This window comes from Homo sapiens, chromosome X (genome assembly GCF_000001405.40).
Source record: "Homo sapiens chromosome X, GRCh38.p14 Primary Assembly".
Taxonomy (NCBI): Eukaryota; Metazoa; Chordata; class Mammalia; order Primates; family Hominidae; genus Homo; species Homo sapiens.
The window spans coordinates 65,951,087-65,973,838 of record NC_000023.11 but is presented as its reverse complement, the minus strand read 5'-3'; the positions used below and the strand labels follow the sequence as shown (position 1 = coordinate 65,973,838).

At 39.5% G+C, this 22,752-nt stretch overlaps 1 pseudogene, besides 2 other annotated features; it reads left to right on the top strand.

The window, feature by feature from the left end:
- Positions 2,013-2,512: an enhancer, noted in NCBI's record as "H3K4me1 hESC enhancer chrX:65191169-65191668 (GRCh37/hg19 assembly coordinates)". NCBI's record gives its function as "activates a minimal SCP1, AML or CMV promoter by ChIP-STARR-seq in naive H9 embryonic stem cells {active_cell/tissue: H9 hESC(naive)}" and the evidence as "EXISTENCE:reporter gene assay evidence [ECO:0000049][PMID:30033119]".
- Positions 2,513-3,014: an enhancer, noted in NCBI's record as "H3K4me1 hESC enhancer chrX:65190667-65191168 (GRCh37/hg19 assembly coordinates)". NCBI's record gives its function as "activates a minimal SCP1, AML or CMV promoter by ChIP-STARR-seq in naive H9 embryonic stem cells {active_cell/tissue: H9 hESC(naive)}" and the evidence as "EXISTENCE:reporter gene assay evidence [ECO:0000049][PMID:30033119]".
- On the top strand, positions 16,496-18,215 carry RBMXP5 (RBMX pseudogene 5; annotated as a pseudogene).

Genomic DNA, 22,752 nt, shown 5'->3' with positions numbered 1-22,752 from the left:
ACCTATGTTTCACGGAATTTCTCCCACAATCCCTCATGTCCTCCAGAGTGCAACATGACTTCAGCCCTACAACTATTTATACTCAAAGAGTAGAAAACCTACCTGTGTAATTATTGCTGTTGCTATTTGTTTTTTTCCAGCACAACTCCTTTTGAATCCAGTAGCTCGGGGAGCAAAACATGGCCACAGGGTCATATCCCCTTCTCAATGGGATGTTATAGTTGTATGAAATTGCTGCCATTATTTAAAAAAATATCACAAAGGGTCGTACTTTCGGTTCCAGGTTATATGAATTTCAATTAGTTGTTATGATCATCTTTCTCCTGCTAGCAAGAACTCCCAGTCTCTGCTAAGCCATGAGCAACAGCAGGGAATTTGTTTATGTGATGAATTGATTAATTTGATGAATTAATGTTATGGTACTGGGAGGACATTTACACTCTGAACCACACAACCACTTACCAGTTCAAAAACATTTTAGGTACCTCCAGAGGCTTGACTGCAGACTCAGCAATCAAACTGAATTACGAACAAACCAGCATTGACAGACAGCTTGCTAGGTGCCCCCTGTATCAGCATAAACCATGGAGCAGAGAAGCTCAGGAAAGGAGCAAGGAAGAGAAAAACCGCATTTGGGCATCTACTCTAGGTGATAGGTTAAGTACCACCATTTATAAATTTACTCTCAGAAACCCTCTCAAGGAGTTATTATTACTATACTGCTTTTATAGAAAATAATCTGAAAAGTCACATAATAGTGGCAGAGCCAGTATTTCTCTCCAGGCCCAACTCCAAATCTATGTTTTTGCCATGACAGTATACTGTTATTATAAGTGTCCCTGCCCTTCAGCTCTAGGAATTGGAAAATAATCTATGAAAGACACACCTAGCTTTCTACCAGGTCCTGTTCATGTTTTACCTCCTTCAAGATGTCTTTCTTGACCATCCCAGCCAATAGGGTTATTCTCCTGCTTATAATCTATGTAGCATTCACTGCATCTGTATCCCTTTTTCAGGAAATTGTATAACAGGGTGGGAAGTGTCCTTGGAGACTAATCCAAGCCCTTTTTTGTACTGATGAGGAAAAGTGGAGCCAAAAGAGGGGAAAAGGGATTGCCCAGGGTCACATAGCAGATTAGATTAATAACTGGGACTAGATCATTGGCCTTCTGATTCTTGGTCTAGTACTTTTGTTCCTACATCCAGGTTGGGGCAAGAGACGCAGAAGAGAGATGACTAGTAACCTGGTATAGGGGAACAATCAAATCTGATATTCAGAAACCAAATGGAAAAATATAATGTATGTAAAATTGCACAGCATGTTCCCAGGTATATAATAGTTTCTCAATATGTTTTGGTTGTCTGAATCAAAGAACCCACTTCTACCACCTGCTCAGGGTCTACACAGCCAGGGATTAGAGCAACCAAAGCAATCTGGGACTATAATTTAGTTCTTTAGACAGACAGTCTCTACTCTTCTCATTTATCTGTTTTCATGTATTTATCATTTATGTACTTATTTCTTTTTTTCTTTAATTTTTAACAAAATTTCCTTTCACAATTTCAACTTCCTATTAATCCTCTACATTTCTGTTCATGTCACTTTTCTGATAAAAATTTAACAATTCCCAATCAACAGGGTGAGACCAACTTCTCAGTGTAGCATCAAAACTAGATCCCAAACTTCCTTTCTCTTCTTACTCTTTATATCCTGATGCCTCTTCCCTTGGATACATGCCCTAACCTGAAGCAATTACAAATTACTATCAATTTGCTATCTCCTTTCATTCACCTGTCTCTTTGCACATGATGTTTGTTCCCTCAGTATACCAGCATGTTGTATCCCTACTTCTGTGCTTAGCAAGCTCAATTTAAAAAACCCACTGCGAATATCATATTAAGTGTTAAATCTTCCCCAACTTTCCCAGCGTAAATTAGCTGCCTCCTCCTAAATGGCAGTTCATCCATCTTTAAGAAGATTGATTATACTGTATTCTAATTGATTAGTGTGCATATCTGTTATTCCCTCAGTCCCGCTATCCTTTGCTGTGAAATGTTTGAAAAAATAAATGAAGTCTTCCTTATCTCTCTCTTGTTTTATGTGCTCCCTAAATGTTTGTGACTGGTAGCACAACTCAAGCAGAGAAAGTACAGAAGCAAATGTATAATTGTTTCTCCCTAACTTAGAGCTGCTTCCTGCACCCTCTTCCCATTTTAACCAGGGTATTCTGAGCCAGGGTGAGAAAGCAGAGTTGCTTCCCTATCTCTCCTCCTCCTCTTTTTAACAAGAACAATACAAGAGGAAGGAGAGGCGCTAAGCTAACAGGACTCAGTGGGGAGGAAGAGTTGGGGATTCACCTACCATGGGTGAGCCCACCCTAGAGGCATAGCACTCTGCGGCTGGTCGCTGGTGCTCAGGGACAGCCCCTGCCGTCCGCCCCGCAGACAAGAAAGAGACTGCAGCCCGGCAGAAGCCTCAGGGCCCCTAGGACCTAACCAGGAAGCGCTGCTGGGCGAGGGGGTGATGCCGTGGCACATTCGGGGCTCTGCGACAGACGCATGCACGATGCCGCCACCACTTTCTGTTTCCAGAGGCTGGTCCTGAGGGAAGGAGGCAGGCAAAAGGCACATAATATAGGCATGCCGCTCTCTGGTTTCAGAGTCACTTTTTCTACCCAAGTTAGGTCTTGGACTCCACAAGAAAAACAGTTGATGTACTACTTCCTCAGTCATGGGTATTGGAAGCATCAGAGGATTGGGTCTGGCTCTGTGCATCTGAATTCTGAGAAATACCTAGAATCTAAACTGGAGGCTGGAATCCAGGTCTCAGGTAAAAGGGTCTGAGGAGAGGGACTATTTATCTTGAATCCAAGAAGCCACAGGAGAATGGGTTTCTGTCTTCAGAGTTATGAAGGGATCAGGTGGAGCAGACCTGAAAGCAAATTCCAGTTCAGTATAATGTAGAACTTTCTAAAATCGGAGTCCCCTGAATGAAGAACAGGCTGCCTTGAAAGAAAATGAATTCTCCAAACCTGGTGTTGTTCAAGTAGGAGCAGAGTGATTGACTTGTGAAGATTCAAAATAATTGAACTTAGTTGCCCTTGGAGCCCAGCCTTATGGTGCTCCTACCATCCATCAAGGAAAATTCAAACTCTTAACACCTTTTGTAGTTGAAGGAGGGAGTAGTGGACGCCTCTACTGTATTAGCATCAACCTCTAGAATTTTAAGCTCCCTACATTTTGTTAATTTCTCCTGCTAACCCAGGAGACAAAGCTACCTCACTTTGATGCACAGGCATAGAGTAGCACTCATTAAATAGATGATAATATTTGTGTGCTCAGCATGTGAGACTTCCATACTTTATGCCTAGAAAGGACTTACTACTTTTCAAACTGAGCTTCTCAACTACCCTGAAGGAAATATGGGGGTTAACACTCTCACTCTACAGATGAAGAAAATAATGTTAAGAGTTGTTAACTTTCCTAAAATAGCTATAAAGCATATAGCTATTTATTCTTTATAAAATGTCCGATTATGCTCTTCTGCAGTACAGTGTCACCCACAACCAGATCTGCCTGGCAGACTTCCTCCTCAACAGTATTTATTGACCATCTATCATATACCAAACACTGTAGAATGCAATTTACAGGTCCTTCCCCTTCACTTCCCAGATTTTAATTCTGGAAATCTTCAAGCTTACAGATAAGTTGAAAAAATAGCACACATTCTAAAAAGAAAGTGCAATGAATACTTCTTTTCCATCCATCTATCTACACACACACACACACACACACGATTGTTGTTAAACCATTTAAAGAGTTAATTGCAGACATCATAAAATTTCACTCACGGACACTTCAGCCTGTATCTCCAAAACATGAATAGTCTCCTATATAATCACAGTGGTATTATCAAACTTTAAAAAGTAAGTGTTGATTCAATGTTAACTAATATGCATTCTACCTTCTAATTTCCTCAGTTGTTTAAAAAATTTGCTTTTTAGATTTACTCTTTGTTCTCTATCTGGAAACCCATTGATGTCTATAAATTTTGTGTCATGTCTCTTCAGTCCTTTTAAATCTAGAATGTCCCCACACACACCCTTTTTTGTTTTTCACAACTGATATTTTTGAAGACTCCAGGACAACTGGCTTACAGAATGTTGTAGGTCTCTTTTAATGTAGAAGATAGGCCACATTGCTTCCCTGCTTTAAATGTTCCAATTCTTTCCCATTGTGATTAGAGTAAAATCCAAACTCCTCACTTATAATGTGGCTTCTGCTTACCTCTCCAGTTTCGTGTTCTATGACTCTTCCCTTTACACGCTATGCTTTAACAACATTGTCCTCCTTATGTCTCTTGAATATTTCAACCTTGCTCCTATCTCAGGGCCTTAGCAGCCTGCTTTTTCTATCTGCAGTGCTTTTTGCCCAGAACCTGGTATTGTTGGCTCCTTTGCACCATTCAGGTCTCAGCTCAAATATTACTTCCTCTGGTAGCTAGTCTTCAAAGGTGAGACTCCCCAAGGAATCATACCACCATTATTCACATCCTTATGTAGTTTATATTCTTGAATCTGAGCTGGTCCTCTAACTCCCTTTTAACCAGTAGAAAGTGGCAGAAGTAATGCTGTAAAGCTTCAGAGGCTAAATCAGAAGAGCACTTGTAACAAGAACCTGGGAACAGTGCCTGGCACAGAGTAGGCCTTCATTTTCTGTTGGACTAATGAGTTTCCTCATTGGTCTCTTGAAATGCTTGTCCTGAGGAAAGCCAACCACTTTGTAACAAGTGTGACTACCCTAAGAACATCATGCTATGAAGAAGCCCATGCTACCCATGTAGAGAAGTCACATGAAGAGAGAGATGTCCAGCGAGTTTCCAGAGTATCTAGCCATCCCAGTTTAGGTTCTCCTAGTTCATCTGTGGGCCCAGCTTAAGCACCATCCATGTGAGTGAAGAAGCCATCCTGCGCATTTTATTTTCTTCACAGTACTTATCACCATCTAAAATTGTCTTGTTTATCAGATTACAGGTCTATTGTATTGTCTCTTTCCACTACAATGTAAGCTCTGTGAGAAAGAGAGGCCTTGGCTGCCTTGTTCACTACTGTATCCCCCGCACCTAAGCAGTGCTTCTCAGAGTTTATTGTGCATACAAACAACCTCAAGCTCTTGTTTAAATACAGATTCTAATTCAGAAGGTCTGGAATGCAGCCTGAGATTCAGCATTTCAAACAGCTCCTAGATGATGCAGATGCTGCTAGCCTAGACCACAAATTGATAGCACAACAGTAGAGGTCTCTAGATAGGAGTGAAAGAATTTGGTATCTGTCTGAGTGAAGCACATCCCCTTCTCCATGATCTTCTGCATTTCCAGCTTCTCTTGAAAAAATCAGAAGGTCTGGCAGTCCTGGGCTGGCATTCACATACTGCAACAATCAGCTGGAGCTGGGTGCAGGTATTAGAGGCACAGCCCCTGCCTAACGTATCCTTCCTTTCCTGGGCAGGCATTCAAATAGTGGCCCCTGCTCTTCAGAGTTCTCTATCATTTTTTTACCACTTCACAGATTCAGGAGACAAAACCCAAAATGTCCATGCCCTCAAACAGGTTTTTATTTTTTCTCTTGGAATGGTCACATTCATATTCAATAAATGTGGCCTGTCTAGAAGAGTGCTTCTCAAATGTTAACGTCAATTGATTTTCTTGTTAAAATGTAGATTCTAAGTATACTAAGACTCCACATTTCCCATAAGCTCCCAGGTGATGCCAATGTTGCTAGTACATAGAACACACTTTGAGGAACAAATATCTAGAAGAGTGCCTGGCACAGAGAAGACACTCAATATTTGTTGGGCTAATAAATTTATTTCATATAACAACCTTGTTATGGTGGCATTATCTCAATTTTATAGACAAGAAAACAGACTCAGAGAATTAAGTGACTTGCCTAAGGTCACATAATTGATATATAACAGAGTCTACCCTCAAACTTAAGTCCATCTGATGACAAAGCTAACCTATTATACCCTAAAATCTCAGCTTGGTTTAACACTTGGGTGGCCTTATATATAGGTGTAGTATGATTTCAAAGACAGCAATAGACACTCACCATCTTAAGCCCCTCCCACCTGCCTGGAATTCCTTATACAGGCTACAAAACCTTTCTTTTATATATATACTTTAACTTCTAGGGTACTTGTGCACAACGTGCAGGTTTGTTACATACGTGTACATGTGCCATGTTGGTGTGCTGCACTCATTAACTCGTCATTTACATTAGGTGTATCTCCTAATGCTATCACTCCCCTCTCCCCCACCCCACAACAGGCCCCGGTGTGTGATATTCCCCACCCTATGTCCAAGTGTTCTCATTGTTCGATTCCCACCTATGAGTGAGAACCCATGGTGTTTGGATTTTTGTCCTTGTGATAGTTTGCTGAGAATGGTGGTTTGCAGCTTCATCCATGTCCCTACAAAGGACATGAACTCATCCTTTTTTATGGCTGCATAGTATTCCATGGTGTATATGTGCCACATTTTCTTCATCCAGTCTATCATTGATGGACATTTGGGTTGGCTCCAAGTCTTTGCTATTGTGAATAGTGCCTCAATAAACATACGTGTGCATGTGTCTTTATAGCAGCATGATTTATAATCCTTAGGGTATATAGCCAGTAATGGGATAGCTGGGTCAAATGGTATTTCTAGTTCTAGATCCTTGAGGAATCGCCACACTGTCTTCCACAATGGTTGAACTAGTTTACAGTCCCACCAACAGTGTAAAAGTGTTCCTATTTCTCCACATCCTCTCCAGCACCTGTTGTTTCCTGACTTTTTAATGATTGCCATTCTAACTGGTGTGAGATGGTATCTCATTCTGGTTTTGATTTACATTTCTCTGATGGCCAGTGATGATGAGCATTTTCTCATGTGTCTGTTGGCTGCATAAATGTCTCCTTTTGAGAAGTGTCTGTTCACATCCTTCGCCCACATTTGATGGGGTTGTTTGTTTTTTTGTGTGAATTTGTTGGAGTTCATTGTAGATTCTGGATATTAGGCCTTTGTCAGATGAGTAGATTGCAAAAATTTTTTCCCATTCTGTAGGTTGCCTGTTCACTCTGATGGTAGTTTCTTTTGCTGTGCAGAAGCTCTTTAGTTTAATTAGATCCCATTTGTCAATTTTGGCTTTTGTTGCCATTGCTTTTAGTGTTTTAGACATGAAGTCCTTGCCTATGCCTATGTCCTGAATGGTATTGCCTAGGTTTTCTTCTAGGATTTTTATGGTTTTAGGTCTAACATTTAAGTTGCTAATCCATCTTGAATTAATTTTTGTATAAGGTGTAAGGAAGGGATCCAGTTTCAGCTTTCTACATATGGCTAGCCAGTTTTCCCAGCACCATTTATTAAATAGGGAATCCTTTCCCCATTTCTTGTTTTTGTCAGGTTTGTCAACGATCAAATGGTTGTAGATGTGTGGTATTATTTCTGAGGGCTCTGTTCCGTTCCATTGGTCTATATCTCTGTTTTGGTACCAGTACCATGCTGTTTTGGTTACTGTAGCCTTGTAGTATAATTTGAAGTCAGGTAGTGTGATGCCTCCAGCTTTGTTCTTTTGGCTTAGGATAGTCTTGGCAATGCAGGCTCTTTTTTGGTTCCTTATGAACTTTAAAGTAGTTTTTTCCAATTCTGTGAAGAAAGTCATTGGTAGCTTGATGGGGATGGCATTGAATCTATAAATTACCTTGGGCAGTATGGCCATTTTCACGATATTGATTCTTCCTGTCCATGAGCATGGAATGTTATTCCATTTGTTTGTGTCCTCTTTTAATTCATTGAGCAATGGTTTGTAGTTCTCCTTGAAGAGGTCCTTCACATCCCCTGTCAGTTGGATTCCTAGATATTTTATTCTCTTTGAAGCAATTGTGAATGGGAGTTCACTCATGATTTGGCTCTCTGTTTGTCTGTTATTGGTGTATAAGAATGCTTGTGACTTTCGCACATTGATTTTGTATCCTGAGACTTTGCTGAAGTTGCTTATCAGCTTAAGGAGATTTTGGGATAAGACAATGGGGTTTTCTAAATATACAGTCATGTCATCTGCTAACAGGGACAATTTGACTTCCTCTTTTCCTAATTGAATACCCTTTATTTCTTTCTCCTGCCTGATTGCCCTGGCCAGAACTTCCAACACTATGTTGAATAGGAGTGGTGAGAATGGGCATCCCTGTCTTGTGCCAGTTTTCAAAGGGAATGCTTCCAGTTTTTGCCCATTCAGTATGATATTGGCTGTGGGTTTGTCATAAATAGCTCTTATTATTTTGAGATACATCCATCAATACCTAGTTTATTGAGAGTTTTTAGCATGAAGTGTTGTTGAATTTTGTCAAAGGCCTTTTCTGCATCTATTGAGATAATCATGTGGTTTTTGTCGTTGGTTCTGTTTATATGCTGGATTACATTTATTGATTTGCATATGTTGAAGCAGCCTTGCATCCCAGGGATGAAGCCCACTTGATCATGGTGGTTAAGCTCTTTGACGTGCTGCTGGATTTGGTTTGCCAGTATTTTATTGAGGATTTTTGCATTGATGTTCATCAGGGATATTGGTCTAAAATTCTCTTTTTTTGTTGTGTCTCTGCCAGGCTTTGGTATCAGGGTGATGCTGGCCTCATAAAATGAGTTAGGGAGGATTCCCTCTTTTTCTATTGATTGGAATAGTTTCAGAAGGTATGGTACCAGCTCCTCCTTGTACCTCTCGTAGAATTTGGCTTTGGATCCATCTGGTCCTGGACTTTTTTTGATTGGTAGGCTACTAATTATTGCCTCTATTTCAGAGCCTGTTATTGGTTTATTCAGGAATTCAACTTCTTCCTGGTTTAGTCTTGGGAGGGTGTATGTGTTCAAGAATTTATCCATTTCTTCTAGATTTTCTAGTTTATTTGCATAGAGGTATTTATAGTATTCTCTGATGGTAGTTTGTATTTCTGTGGGATAGGTGGTGATCTCCCTTTTATCATTTTTTATTGCATCTATTTGATTCTTCTCTCTTTTCTTCTTTATTAGTCTTGCTAGCAGTCTATCAATTTTGTCGATCTTTTCAAAAAACCAGCTCCTGGATTCATTGATTTTTTGAAGGGTTTTTTGTGTCTCTATCTCTTTCAGTTCTGCCCTGATCTTAGTTATTTCTTGCCTTCTGCTAGCTTTTGAATGTGTTTGCTCTTGCTTCTCTAGTTCTTTTCATTGTGATGTTAGGGTGTCAATTTTAGATCTTTCCTGCTTTCTCTTATGGGCATTTCGTGCTATAAATTTCTTCCTACTCACTGCTTAAATGTGTCCCAGAGATTCTGGTATGTTGTGTCTTTGTTCTCATTGGTTTCAAAGAACATCTTTATTTCTGGCTTCATTTCATTATCTACCCAGTAACTGGGCTGCTGCTGGCCTTTGAATGCAAACATCTGGAGAAGTTAAGATCAGACAGTGGAACTAACACCTGGGAGCAAATCAGGATCCCGAGTAGTCAGGAAAGATCTAAAAGATTGGGCAGAGGCCAGATGCAGTGGTTCACACCTGTAATCCCAGCACTTTGGGAGGCCAAGGTGGGCAGATCACCTGAGGTCAGGAATTCAAGAACAGCCTGGCCAATATGGTGAAACTCTGTCTCTACAAAAATACAAAAATTAGCCGGGCATAATGGCGGGTGCCTGTAATTCCAGTTATGAGGGAGGCTGAAGTGGGGGAATTGCTTGTACCCAGGAAGTGGAGGTTGCAGTGAGTGGAGATTGTGCCATTGAACTCCAGCCTGGGCGACAAAGCAAGACTCTGTCTTGGAAAAAATAAAAAGATTGGGCACACATAGAAGTAATATTCAAAATACTTACTGTCCTGTATGATATAGTTTGGCTGTTTCCCCACCCAAATGTTATCTTGAATTGTAGCTCCCATAATTCCCACTGTTGTGGGAGGCAAGTGGTGGGAGGTAATTGAATCATGGTGGTGGGTCTTTCCTGTGCTGTTCTCTTGATAGTGAATAAGTCTCATGAGATCTGATGATTTTATTAAGGGGAGTTCCCCTGCATATTCTCTTTTGCCTGCCACCATGTAAGATGTGACTTTGCTCCACCTTCACCTTCTGCCATAATTGTGAGGCCTTACCAGCCATGTTGAACAGTGAGTCCATTAAACTTCTTTTTCTTTTTAAATTACCCAGTCTTGGGTATGTCTTTATTAGCAGCATGAGAACAGGCTAGTACACTGTATAATACTGCTGCAATCCATCTGAAGGGATATAGGCCTGTAATACTGGAGCAGAGTTCTGGAGGTATTACCCCTTTAGTTGCTGGATTCCAGGAAGGTATGGGAGTAGAAAGTGAGGGACTGGAACAATGGGGGGCACACAAGGGGCTTAGTGTAGTTACTATTTACCAACTGGTATGGAAGTATTTCAGTATTTAGGAACTGGCACTGCCATACAGGTGTAAACTGCCTGAATATTAGCCCTGAACATCAGGTTAAAGCAAGTCAAAAAATCTTCGGAGCCAAGTCCTAGATAAAGGTCAGCAGCAAACCCCAGACGTTGGACTGGCAGCTGATTATAGACTCAGAAATAATAAATGCCATGTGAATGATATCTATGGCAGCAGACCCCATCAGTCTGAGGCAGGACATTAGGAATATCTGGCTAGTAGGTGTCTGGGCAGACAGAACCTGATAAGCTGAAATGCATCCACATCAAGGTGTAATAAGCCAGTCAGATAACTCTTAAAGCAGATGTCACCTCTTGGCAAAATAATAGAGGTTGACTGTCTTTGGTAGTTCTCCAGATGTGGTCTCTGGACCACTTGTCTCAGAATCATCTGGTATGAGTGTTTAAAAATAAGTAATTTGAAGGCCTCACTTCAGGCCTATTAAGTCAGAATTTAGAGGAGAAGTATATATGCATTTTGTAACAGGCATTCCAAGAGATTCTGATATGTTCTCAAGTTTAAGACCCATTTGTCTGAAGTGTGTGTGAAGGACAAGAAAGTAGGTGCTATATGAGAATGGCTGTCTACTTTGCTCAGAGAGGTTGATGTCAGGTTACAAAAGAGCTTATATGGTCAGGCTGAGAAGGGTGGATGAATATGACATAATAGGGATCATCTGAAGGTTTATGATAAGAGGGAAAGTTAAGAGGTATTGGGGAAGACAATTCTGGTGGCAGTGTAGATGGATTAAATAGGAGAGATACTTGAGAGAGAAAGATAAGTTACGGGATTTTAGAGTAAATTGAAGTGTTTTCTACTTGCTACATTTTAGCAGTCATGGCTTGGAGCATCTCTATCATGTTGGTCAACCCAGGAAACCTTCTGCTGAAAAGGAATCTAGACTGACAATACCTGGTTCTCACTATTTCCTGTCTACAGACCCCAGTAATTTGGCTCCCATGGCTCCTCTTTTTTAAGTTGAAGTCATATTCTGCCTTCTACCTGGCACTTGGAAGTGCCAGTCATGGGCCCAGGCCCGCCCTGTGGTATAGCTAGAGATTTAGCAACCATTCATCCCATAATTGCCAAGATGTTAAATTTCCATAACTTTTGGCTTAGTTTGAATAAACATTTGTTGACTAACCACTTTGTTGCAGAAATTATGCTATGCCTTGGAAAAACAGAGATAATTAAAGTACAATTTTTTTTGAGACAGAGCCTCATAAAGGTAGACATGTAGACCAATGGAACAGAATAGGGGGCCCAGCAATAAATCCACAAAAATACAGTCAACTGATCTAGCCAAAATGTTTGCAGCCTGTCCAGCTGACAAGGTCTAATATTCAGAGTCTAAGAGGAATTTAAATAAATTTACAAGAAAAAAATAACCCTATTTAAGAATGGGCAAAGGACATGAACAGGAACTTCTCAAAAGACGACATTTATGCAACCAAAAAACATACGGAAAGAAGCTCAACATCACTGATAATTAGAGAAATGCAAATCAAAACCACAATGAGATACCATCTCATGCCAGTCAGAATGGCAATTGTTAAAAAGACAAAAACACAACAGATGCTTGTGAGGCTACAGAGAGATAGGAACACTTTTACTCTGTTGGTTGGAATGTGAATTAGTTCAACCATTGTGGAATACAGTGTGACGATTCCTCAAAGACCTAAAAACAAAACTGCCATTTGACCCAGCTTCTGTATCACTCTATTGCAGACTCTACCCTTTTAATTGCCACTCCATGCGGTGTTCTTCTCCTCTTTCTGCCTTGGTTCCTTGTTTTTTATGTTGTTTTTTCCCACCCAATAACAGGACAAGGGACATTCTGACACTTTCCCAAGGCTCTTAACATGAAATGGTTCCTGTTGAATATTCTAGGGGGTCTTCCATTTTTTCAATAATCCATGCCCATCCTCAGCTCCCACATGCCTCACACACCTTTTCTCTCATCTCTGCATCTTACCCTCTTACCCTCTCTCTAGACCAGTGGTTCTTGAGCTTGGTCACACATTAGAATCATCTAGGGAGCTTTAACAAAAACCAATGTCCAAGGCATACGCCAGCCCAATAAGGAGGGACTCTCGAAGGGTGTAGTCCAGGAATCCAAAATATTAAAACTCCCCAAATTATTCTAACGTTGAGTCAAGATTGAAAGCCATTGCTCTAGATGACTCTCCAATATAGTATTTCTTGGCCTTTTTTATTGTTTCTAAATTTTTTTTCCAAATTATCTCACCCATAAAATGTTAATATCACGCATTTAATATATAACTGTTTATATACTGTGGCCCTTTGGAGGTCCACAAACCAGGGTAATAGCTAAGATTCCTCCATCCCCACACCAAGAGTAAATTTGTACCCTTTGGGGGACTATATCATCCCAATTTAAAATTCATGCTAACGACTTGTTACCTTCACTTAGAATTTGATAGAAATGCAGAATCTCAGGCCCCATTCATGATCTACTGAATCTGAACCTACTTTTTAACAAGTATTTAGCATGCATTTTAAATTTGAGACACACTGCTTTACAAGTCTTCTTCTCCCCCAACAAAGCTGTTGGACCTATGGCTCTGAGTAAGGTGATTAGGAGCAGTAGCATTTATGGAGACCTAGAACATCAGGACTGAGATGGAGGTTAAAAGAATCTAGTGCAAGCCTCTGTCCCATGTTTGAACCTCTCAAATGACTACCTGCTAAGTAGTCATCCAGCCACTGATGGGATAACTCTGATAATGAGAATCGATCACTCCAGGCTGACCTTTCCAAGATCACTTTTAGAATGGGATTCTTTGGGTTGAGCTGAAATTATTCTTCCCATGATATTTACCCTTGTATCCTGCTTTGCACCCTGTCACCACCCAAAATGTACCTACTCACTCTGCCCCATGATTGCTCCAAGCTCTGAAAACAGAGGCCACAGTCCCCTCAGTCTTCTTTTCTTCTAAGATAATTCAGCCACTCTTCATAGGTCACATTTCCTCTTCTTTCTCCAGACTGCTCATTCTCTTCTGGATATACTTTGAACTGTTTGAGCCACAGTTAATCATCTGGACCTACAGCTTGTGTGGGCTGTGTCCCAGGTGCAGACTGATTTAAGAGAAATAAAGTAAGACTGTCGCCTCTCTTGTCCAAGATGCTAAACTTTTATTAATGCCCTCCTAAATTTAAATTAGCTTTATTGGCAACCATATCACACTGTTGGCTTATACTGAATTGACTGTCAACTAAAACCCTGAAAAGTTTCCACATAAGCTGCTTTACAGCCACATCTACAGCAGCCTGTTCTTCAGTCAGTTTTTGGTACCTGAGTGCAAATCTTGACATCCTCTGCACTGAGCTTCACTTTTTTTTTAAGAGACAGGGTCTTGCTCTGTTGCCCAGGCTGGAGTTCAGTGCACAGTCACAGCTCACTACAGCCTTGAACTCCTGGGCTCAAATGATCCTCCTGCCCCAGTCTCCCAAGTTGCTAGAGCTACAGGTTCATGCCACCACGCCCAGCTATTTTTTTAATTTTTTTGTCGAGATGGGGTCTGTGTATGTTGCCCAGGCTGGTCTTGAATTCCTGGCCTCAAGCAATCCTCCCTCCTAGGCCTCCCAAAATGTTGGGATTGCAGGTATGAGCCATGTTGTTAAACAATTTAAAATATGTTAGTAATCCAAAAAGTACAAATTAAAGTGATATATCATCTGGAGACAGAGATTATTAAATTAGTAAAGAATTCGTAAGTGCTAATACCCAGTGTTTGGGTGAGTATAGGAAAACAGATACTGAGTGGGAGTAAAAATTAAGTGTAACCTTTCTGAATGGCAATTTGGCAATATCATCAAAAAAAAATCTAAATGTGCATCCTTCTTACCCAACAATTTTACTTCTAAGAATTTACCCTAAGGAAATATTCAGAATCATTCAAGAAATATATGTACACAAATGTTTATTGCTGCATTTCTTATCATTGAACAATTGGGAACAACCTTAATACTCTACAAAAGAGGACTGGTTCAATAAAAATAAGTAAATAATTTGATTAAAATATGGCCATTAAAATCACACATAAAACCTTTACAGACATTGAAAAATGTTTAATTGTTAAATAATAAAAGTAGGTAACTATATGTGTATATATATATATATATGTGTATGTGTATATATATGTATATATATGTATATATATGTGTATATATGTGTGTATATATGTGGTATATATATGTGTATACATAAATACACATACACATATATATATACACATATATATGTGTGTGTGTATATATATATTTATATATACACAATTTGATCCCAATGTGTATACGGAAACAGTTGCATATAAATTTCTATTAAAGTGTATTCCCCAACATGGTTTGTTTTGTTTTTTGATTTTTCCTATGAGTACGTAGTATATATGTGGAATACCTGAAATATTTTTATAGAGGCATACAAAGTGTAATAATCACATCAGGGTAAATGAAGTATCCATCACCTCAAGCATTTATAATTAATTTTTGTGTTACAAACATTTCAATTGTATGTTTTTAGTTATTTTTCAATGTACAATAAATTGTTGTTGACTGTAGTCATCCTGTTGTGCTGTCAAATACTAGATATCATTTATTCTATCTAACTACATTTTTGTATCCATTAATTATCCCTAATCCTTCCTCCCCACTACCCTTCCCAGCTTCTGGTAGCCATCATTCTACTTGATATCTCCATGAGTTCAATTGTTTTAATTTTTAGCTAGTGTTTTTTATTTTACATTATGCTCCTGTTACTGATGATAAAATGTCAAAAGGATTGTATTACATAAGACTGAGCTCAAACTGACAATGAAATGCTAATTGAAAATCCATTTGTTAGAGAACTCACAGAAAACTGCTAGTGCTATATGTAAACTTGTTGAAAGTTCAATGTGATATGGCCCATGAGTAACCAACAAGAGTAATTCTAAAGCAAATGTTTTCATAATTTAATTTACTCAGAGATTTCTCTGACACCTGAGCAAGACCAAAACAAGAAGGAAAACACAATTCAGATAATACTTTAGCTACTATTCAGGTGAAATGAGACTTAAACTTCCCTCAGACTGGGACATAAGTCTCCCTAAAACATAGAAATATGTTCTGGAATATGACTCATTCTAGTCATTCATTAAGAGGAAATACAACTAATAATATATCAATTATTAAACACTCACTATGAACTAGGCAATATTTCTTGTTTTCTTATTTGTTTCTTTGTTTGTTTGTTTTTGAGACAGAGTCTTGCTCTGTCATCCAGGCTGGAGTACAGTGGCATGATTATGGCTCATTGTAGGCTCACTCTCCTGAACTCAAGTGATTCTCCTACTTCAGGCTCCCAAGTATCTGGGACTACAGGTGCACACCACCACACCCAACTATTTTTTTTTTTTTTTGTAGAGATGGAGGTCTCACTATGTTGCCCAGGCTAGTAGTCAATGCTCCTTCTACATATGTTCATTGGCTGATATAATCTTCCCAATTTGTTTATAATGTAGGTATCATCTTTACTTTTGAGATAAAGAAAGTGGAACATCAAAATATTAAGTATCTTGATCACATCTCACAGCTAATCAGTATCCAAGGTGTAATATGAACCCACACTACCTAACTCCAGATTATACACTCAAATCAATTTTTACATGAATTGAACTTCCCTCCAGGCAAGCTGGGGGTAGAATGGGCATTATGAATTTGGAAGGAAAGATGGGGAATTTTGGAAGGTGAAACTAGGAGAGCGTTTTAAAGAGAGCAGTGTGCAGAAGAGGAGACCAGTGACAGGCTGCTTGTGATCAACCTGAGAAATTGAGCTGCTCTAGACTGAAGAAAAAGAGCTAGGTCAGTGGAACTTAGTGAATAATCTGAATTGGCATAATGTTAAAATAAAATGCAATTTACAGCCAGCAATTTCTTTTCTAGGGATTTATCCTAAGGAAATAATGTGAGAAATGTGTGAAGGTGTATATATGTCCGTACCAGAATGTCCATTGAAATGTGAATTGAGGTTGCACAGTAGTGCTAGCAGCTTCGCGGTTCGGTCCTCGGACCCGGCAGCCACCACTGGTGCTGAGCTGCTAGGAAGCCCCTATCGGCGAGCTCTTTGGAGCTTGAACCCATTGTCACTCCTCCGACTCACCGGAAAAAACAAAAAATGGGTGAAGCAGATCGCCTAGGAAAGTTTTTCATTGGTGGGCTTAATACGGAAACAAATAAGAAAGCTCTTGAAGCAGTATTTGGCAAATATGGACAAATAGTGGAAGTACACTTGATGAAAGACTGTGAAACCAACAAATCAAGAGGATTTGCTTTTATCACCTTTGAAAGACCAGCAGACGCTAAGGATGCAGCCAGAGACATGAATGGAAAGTCATTAGATGGAAAAGCCATCAAGGTGGAACAAGCCACCAAACCGTCATTTGAAAGTGGTAGACGTGGACCGCCTCCACCTCCAAGAAGTAGAGGCCCTCCAAGAGTTCTTAGAGGTGGAAGAGGAGGAAGTGGAGGAACCAGGGAACCTCCCTCACGGGGAGGACACATGGATGACTGGTGGATATTCCATGAATTTTAACATGAGTTCTTCCAGGGGACCACTCCCAGTAAAAAGAGGACCACCACCAAGAAGTGGGGGTCTTCCTCCTAAGAGATCTGCACCTTCAGGACCAGTTCGCAGTAGCAGTGGAATGGGAGGAAGAGCTCCTGTATCACGTGGAAGAGATAGTTACCGAGGTCCACCTCGAAGGGAATCGCTGCCCTCTTGTAGAGAGCTCCACCTACACGAGGGCGCCCCCATCTTATGGTGGAAGCAGTCGCTATGATGATTACAGCAGCTCACGTGACGGATATGGTGGAAGTCGAGACAGTTACTCAAGCAGTCGAAGTGATCTCTACTCAAGTGGTCGTGATCAGGTTGGCAGACAAGAAAGAGGGCTTCCCCCTTCTATGGAAAGGGGGTACCCTCCTCCACGTGATTCCTACAGCAGTTCAAGCCGTGGAACACCAAGAGGTGGTGGCCGTGGAGGAAGCCGATCTGATAGAGGGGGAGGCAGAAGCAGATACTAGAAACAAACAAAACTTTGTACCAAAATCCCAGTTCAAAGAAACAAAAAGTGGAAACTATTCTATCATAACTACCCAAGAACTACTAAAAGGAAAAATTGTGTTACCTTTTTTAAAATTCCCTGTTAAGCTCCCCTCCATAATTTTTATGTTCTTGTGAGGAAAAAAAGTAAAACATGTTTAATTTTATTTGACTTTTGCATTGCTTTTCAACAAGCAAATGTTAAATGTGTTAAGACTTATACTAGTGTTGTAACTTTCCAAGTAAAAGTATCCCTAAAGGCCACTTCCTATCTGATTTTTCCCAGTAAATGAGGCAGGCAATTCTAAGATCTTCCACAAAACATCTAGCCATCTAAAATGGAGAGATGAATCATTCTACCTACACAAACAAGCTAGCTATTAGAGGGTGGTTGGGATATGCTACTCATAAGATTTCAGGGTGTCTTCCAACTGAAATCTCAATGTTCTTAGTATGAAAAACCTGAAATCGCATGCCTATTCACCCAGTAAACCCAAAAAAGCAAATGGATAATGCTGGCCATTCTGCCTTTCTGACATTTCCTTGGGAATCTGCAAGAACCTCCCCTTTCCCCTCCCCCAATAAGACCATTTAAGTGTGTGCTAAACAACTAAGAATACTAAATAAAATGTTTGGCCAAAACCAACAAAAACAAAAAAAAAAAAGAAAAAAATGTGAATTGTGACAGCAAAAAGTTGCGATAAGAAAACTCAAATGCACATCAGTAAGGAATTTGATTTAAAATTAGATTTTTACCTCTGGGATACAGCAAAGGCAATACTAAGAGGAAAGTTCATAGCCCTAAATGCCTACATCAAAAAATCTGAAAGAGCACAAAGAGGCATTCGCACCTCAAGGAACTAGAGAAACAAGAACAAACCATACCCAAACCCAGCAGAAGAAATGAAATAAGCAAGATCAAATCATAAGTAAGTAAACAAGATTGAAACAAAACAAAACAAAAAGATAAAGGAAACAAAAAACTGGTTCTTTGAATAAATAAGTAAAACTGATAAACTATTAGCAAGATTCACCAAGAAAAGAAGAGATAAAAATCCAAATAACCTCTATAAGAAACAAAATGGGGCTGGCCATGATGGCTGACACCTGTAATCCCAGCACTTTGAGTGGCTGAGGCAGGCGGATCACAAAGTCAGGAGTTTGAGAGCAGCCTGACCAACATGGTGAAACCCCATCTCTACTAAAAATATACAAATTAGTCGGGTGTGGTGGCGAGTATCTGTAATGCCAGCTACTTAGGAAGCAGAGGCAGAAGAATAGCTTGAACCCGGAAGGTGGAGGTTGCAGTGAGCCGAGATCGCACCACTGCACTCCAGCCTGGGTGAGAGAGCAAGACTCTGTCTCAAAAAAAAAAAAAAAAAAAAAAAATGAAACAAAACGGGAGATATTACAACTGACATCACAGAAATACAAAAGATCATTCAAGGCAACTACGAACACTTTTATGCATATAAACTAGAAAACCTAGAGGAGATGAATAAATTCCTGGAAAGATACAACCTTCCTAGCTTAAATCAGGAAGAATTACATACACTGGGTAGACCAATAACAAGCAGTGAGATTGAAATGGTAATAAAAAATTACAGCCGGGCGCAGTGGCTCACACCTGTAATCCCAGCACTTTGGGAGGCCAAGGCGGGCGGATCACGAGGTCAGGAGATCGAGACTATCCTGGGCTAACACAGTGAAACCCCGTCTGTATTAAAAAATACAAAAAATTAGCTGGGCATGGTGGCAGGTACCTGTAGTCTCAGCTACTTGGGAGGCTGAGGCAGGAGAATGGCATGAACCTGGGAGGCAGAGCTTGCAGTGAGTGGAGATAGTGCTACTGCACTCCAGCCTGGGTGACAGAGCGAGACTCCCTCTCAAAATAAATAAATAAATAAATAAATAAATAAATAAATAAATAACCAACAAAGAGAAGTCCAGGACCAGACAGATTCACAGCAGAATTCTACCAGACATTCAAAGAAGAATTGGTACCAATGCTTTTGACACCATTTCACAATATAGAGAAAGAGGAAACCCTCTGTAAATCATTCTATGAAGCCACTACCACCCTAATACCCAAACCAGGAAAGGACATAATCAAAAAAGAAAACTACAGACCAATATCCCTGATGAACATAGATGTAAAAAGTCCTTAACAAAATATTAGCTGACTTAATGCAACAACATATCAAAAAGATAATCCACCATGTTTAAGTGAGTTTCATACCAGGGATTCAGGGATGGTTTAACATACACAAGTCAATAAATGTGATACATCACATAAGAAGAATCCAAAACAAAAATCACAAGATCATCTCAATATATGCAGAAAAAGCATTCAACAAAATCCAGCATCGCTTTATGGTTAAAAACTCTCAACAAAATTAGTATAAAAGGAACATACCTCAATGCACTAAAAGTCATCAATGACAAACACAAAGCCAACATAATTCTGAATGGGAAAATGTGGAAAGCATTCCCTCTGAGAAGTGGAACAACACAAGAATTCCCACTCTCACCACCCCTCTTCTACATAGTACTGGAAGTCCTAGCCAGAGCTATCAGACAAGATAAAGAAATAAAGGGCATCCAAATCAGTAAAGAGGAAGTCAAACTGTTGCTGTTTGCTGATGATATGATTATTTACCTAGAAAACCCTAGAGACTTTTCCAGAAAGCTCCTAGAAATGATAAAAGAATTCCGCAGAGTTTCCGGATGCAAAATTAATGTACACAAATCAGTAGCTTTTTTATGCACTAACAGTGACCAAGCAGAGAATCAAATAAAGAACTCAATCCCTTTTACAATAGCTGCAAAACAAATAAAATACTTAGGAATATACCTAACCAAGGAGGTGAAAGACGTCTACAAGAAAAACTACAAAACACTGCTGAAAGAAATTATAGATGACGCAAAGAACTGAAACACATCGCTTGCTCATGAATGGGTAAAATCAATGTTGTGCAAATGACCATACTTAGCCAGGTGTGGTGGTTCACACCTGTAATCCCAGCACTTTGGGAGGCTAAGGTGGACAGATCACTTGAGATCAGGAGCACTCAAGACCAGCCTGGCCAACATGGTGAAATCCTGTCTCTACTAAAAATACAAAAGTTAGCTAGGCATGGTGGTGTATGCCTGTAGTCCCAGCTACTGGAGAGGCTGAGGCAGAAGAATCACTTGAATCTGGGAGGCGGAGGTTGCAGTAAGCCGAGACTGTGCCACTGCACTGCATTACAGCCTGGGCAACAATCCATCTCAAAAAAAAAAGGAAAAAGAAAAGAAAGAAAAAAGATAAAAAGAAAATGACCATACTTCCAGAAGCAATCTACAAATTGAACGCAATTCCCATCAAAATACCACCATCATTCTTCACAGAATTAGAAAAAAAATTCCTAAAATTCATATAGAACAAAAAAAAGAGCTCACATAGCCAAAGCAAGACTAAGCAAATAAAGCAAATCTGGAGGCATCACATTACCTGATTTCAAACTATACTATAAGTCCATAGTCACCAAAGCAGCATGGTACTTGTATAAAAATAGGCACATAGACAAATGGAACAGAATAGAGAACCCAGAAATAAACCCAAATACTTACAACCAACTGATCTTTGACAAAGCAAACAAAAACATAAAGTGGAGAAAGGACACCCTTTTCAACAAATTGTGCTGGTTTAATTGGCAAGCCACATATAGGAGAATGAAACTGGATCCCCATCTCTCACCTTATACAAAAATCAACTCAAGATGGATAAAGGTCTTAAAATCTAAGATCTGAAACTAAAAATTCTAGAAGATAACATTGGAAAAACCCTTCTAGACATTGGCTTAGGCAAAGATTTCATGACCAAGAACCCAAAAGCAAATGCAGTGAAAACAAAGATAAATAGCTGAGACTTAATTAAACCAAAGAACTTTTGCACAGCAAAAGGAACAGTCAGCAGAGTAAACAGAAAAACCACAGCATAGGAGAAAATCTTCAAAATCTATACATCTGACAAAGGACTAATACCCAGAATCTACAATGAACTCAAACAAATCAGCAAGAAGAAACAAACAATCTCATCAAAAAGTGGGCTAAGGACATGAATAGACAATTCTCAAAAGAAGATATACAAATGACACACAAACATATGAAAAAATGCTCAACATCACTTATGATCAGAGAAATGCAAATCAAAACCACAGTGCAATACCACCTTACTCCTACAAGAATGGCCATAATCAAAAAATGAAAAAAAAATTGTAGATGTTGGCATAGATGCGGTGAACAGGGAACACTTCTACACTGCTGGTGGGAATGTAAACTAGTACAACCACTGTGGAAAACAGTGTTTTCCTTAATTAACTAAAAATAAAACTACTGTTTGATTCAGCAATCCCAGCAACCGGTATCTACCCAGGAGAAAAGAAGTCATTATACAAAAAAGATACTTGCACACACATGTTTATAGCAGCACAATTCACAATTGCAAAAACGTGGAATCAACCCAAATGCCCATCAATCAATGAATGGATAAAGAAACTGTAATATATATGATATATATGGAATAACTCTCAGCCATAGGAAGGAAAGAATCAATGGCATTTGCAGCGACCTGGGTGAGATTGGAGACTATTATTCTAAGTGAAGTAACTCAAGAACGGAAAACCAAACATTATATGTTTTCAGTTATAAGTGAGAGCTAAGCTACGACGATGCAAAGACAAAAGAATGACACAATGGACTTTGGGGACTCTGAGGGAGTGGGAAGGAGATGAGGAATAAAAGACTACAAATATGATGCAGTGTGTACTGCTCGGGTGATGGGTGCACCAAAATATCACAAATCACCACTAAAGAACTTACTTATGTAACCAAACACCACCTTTCCCCAATAACCTATGGAAATAAAAATATGACAGACATTACAAATGTTGGTATAAATCTATATTTAGTGACATAAAATGATGATAGACTTATTTTTCAGTTAAAAATTGTATATAACAGGTTAAGGAGATTTACTTCCAGCATGACAGCATGAGGAGATCCACTGACTTGAAATAAACAAAACTGATGAAAATTATGAGAAAGCAACCATTTAAACCCTCTGAAAATGAAGTAACATCTGTTCAAGAAAATCTATGACTATTTGGTAAGAAAGGCAATAATTTGTGATACTTGAACTA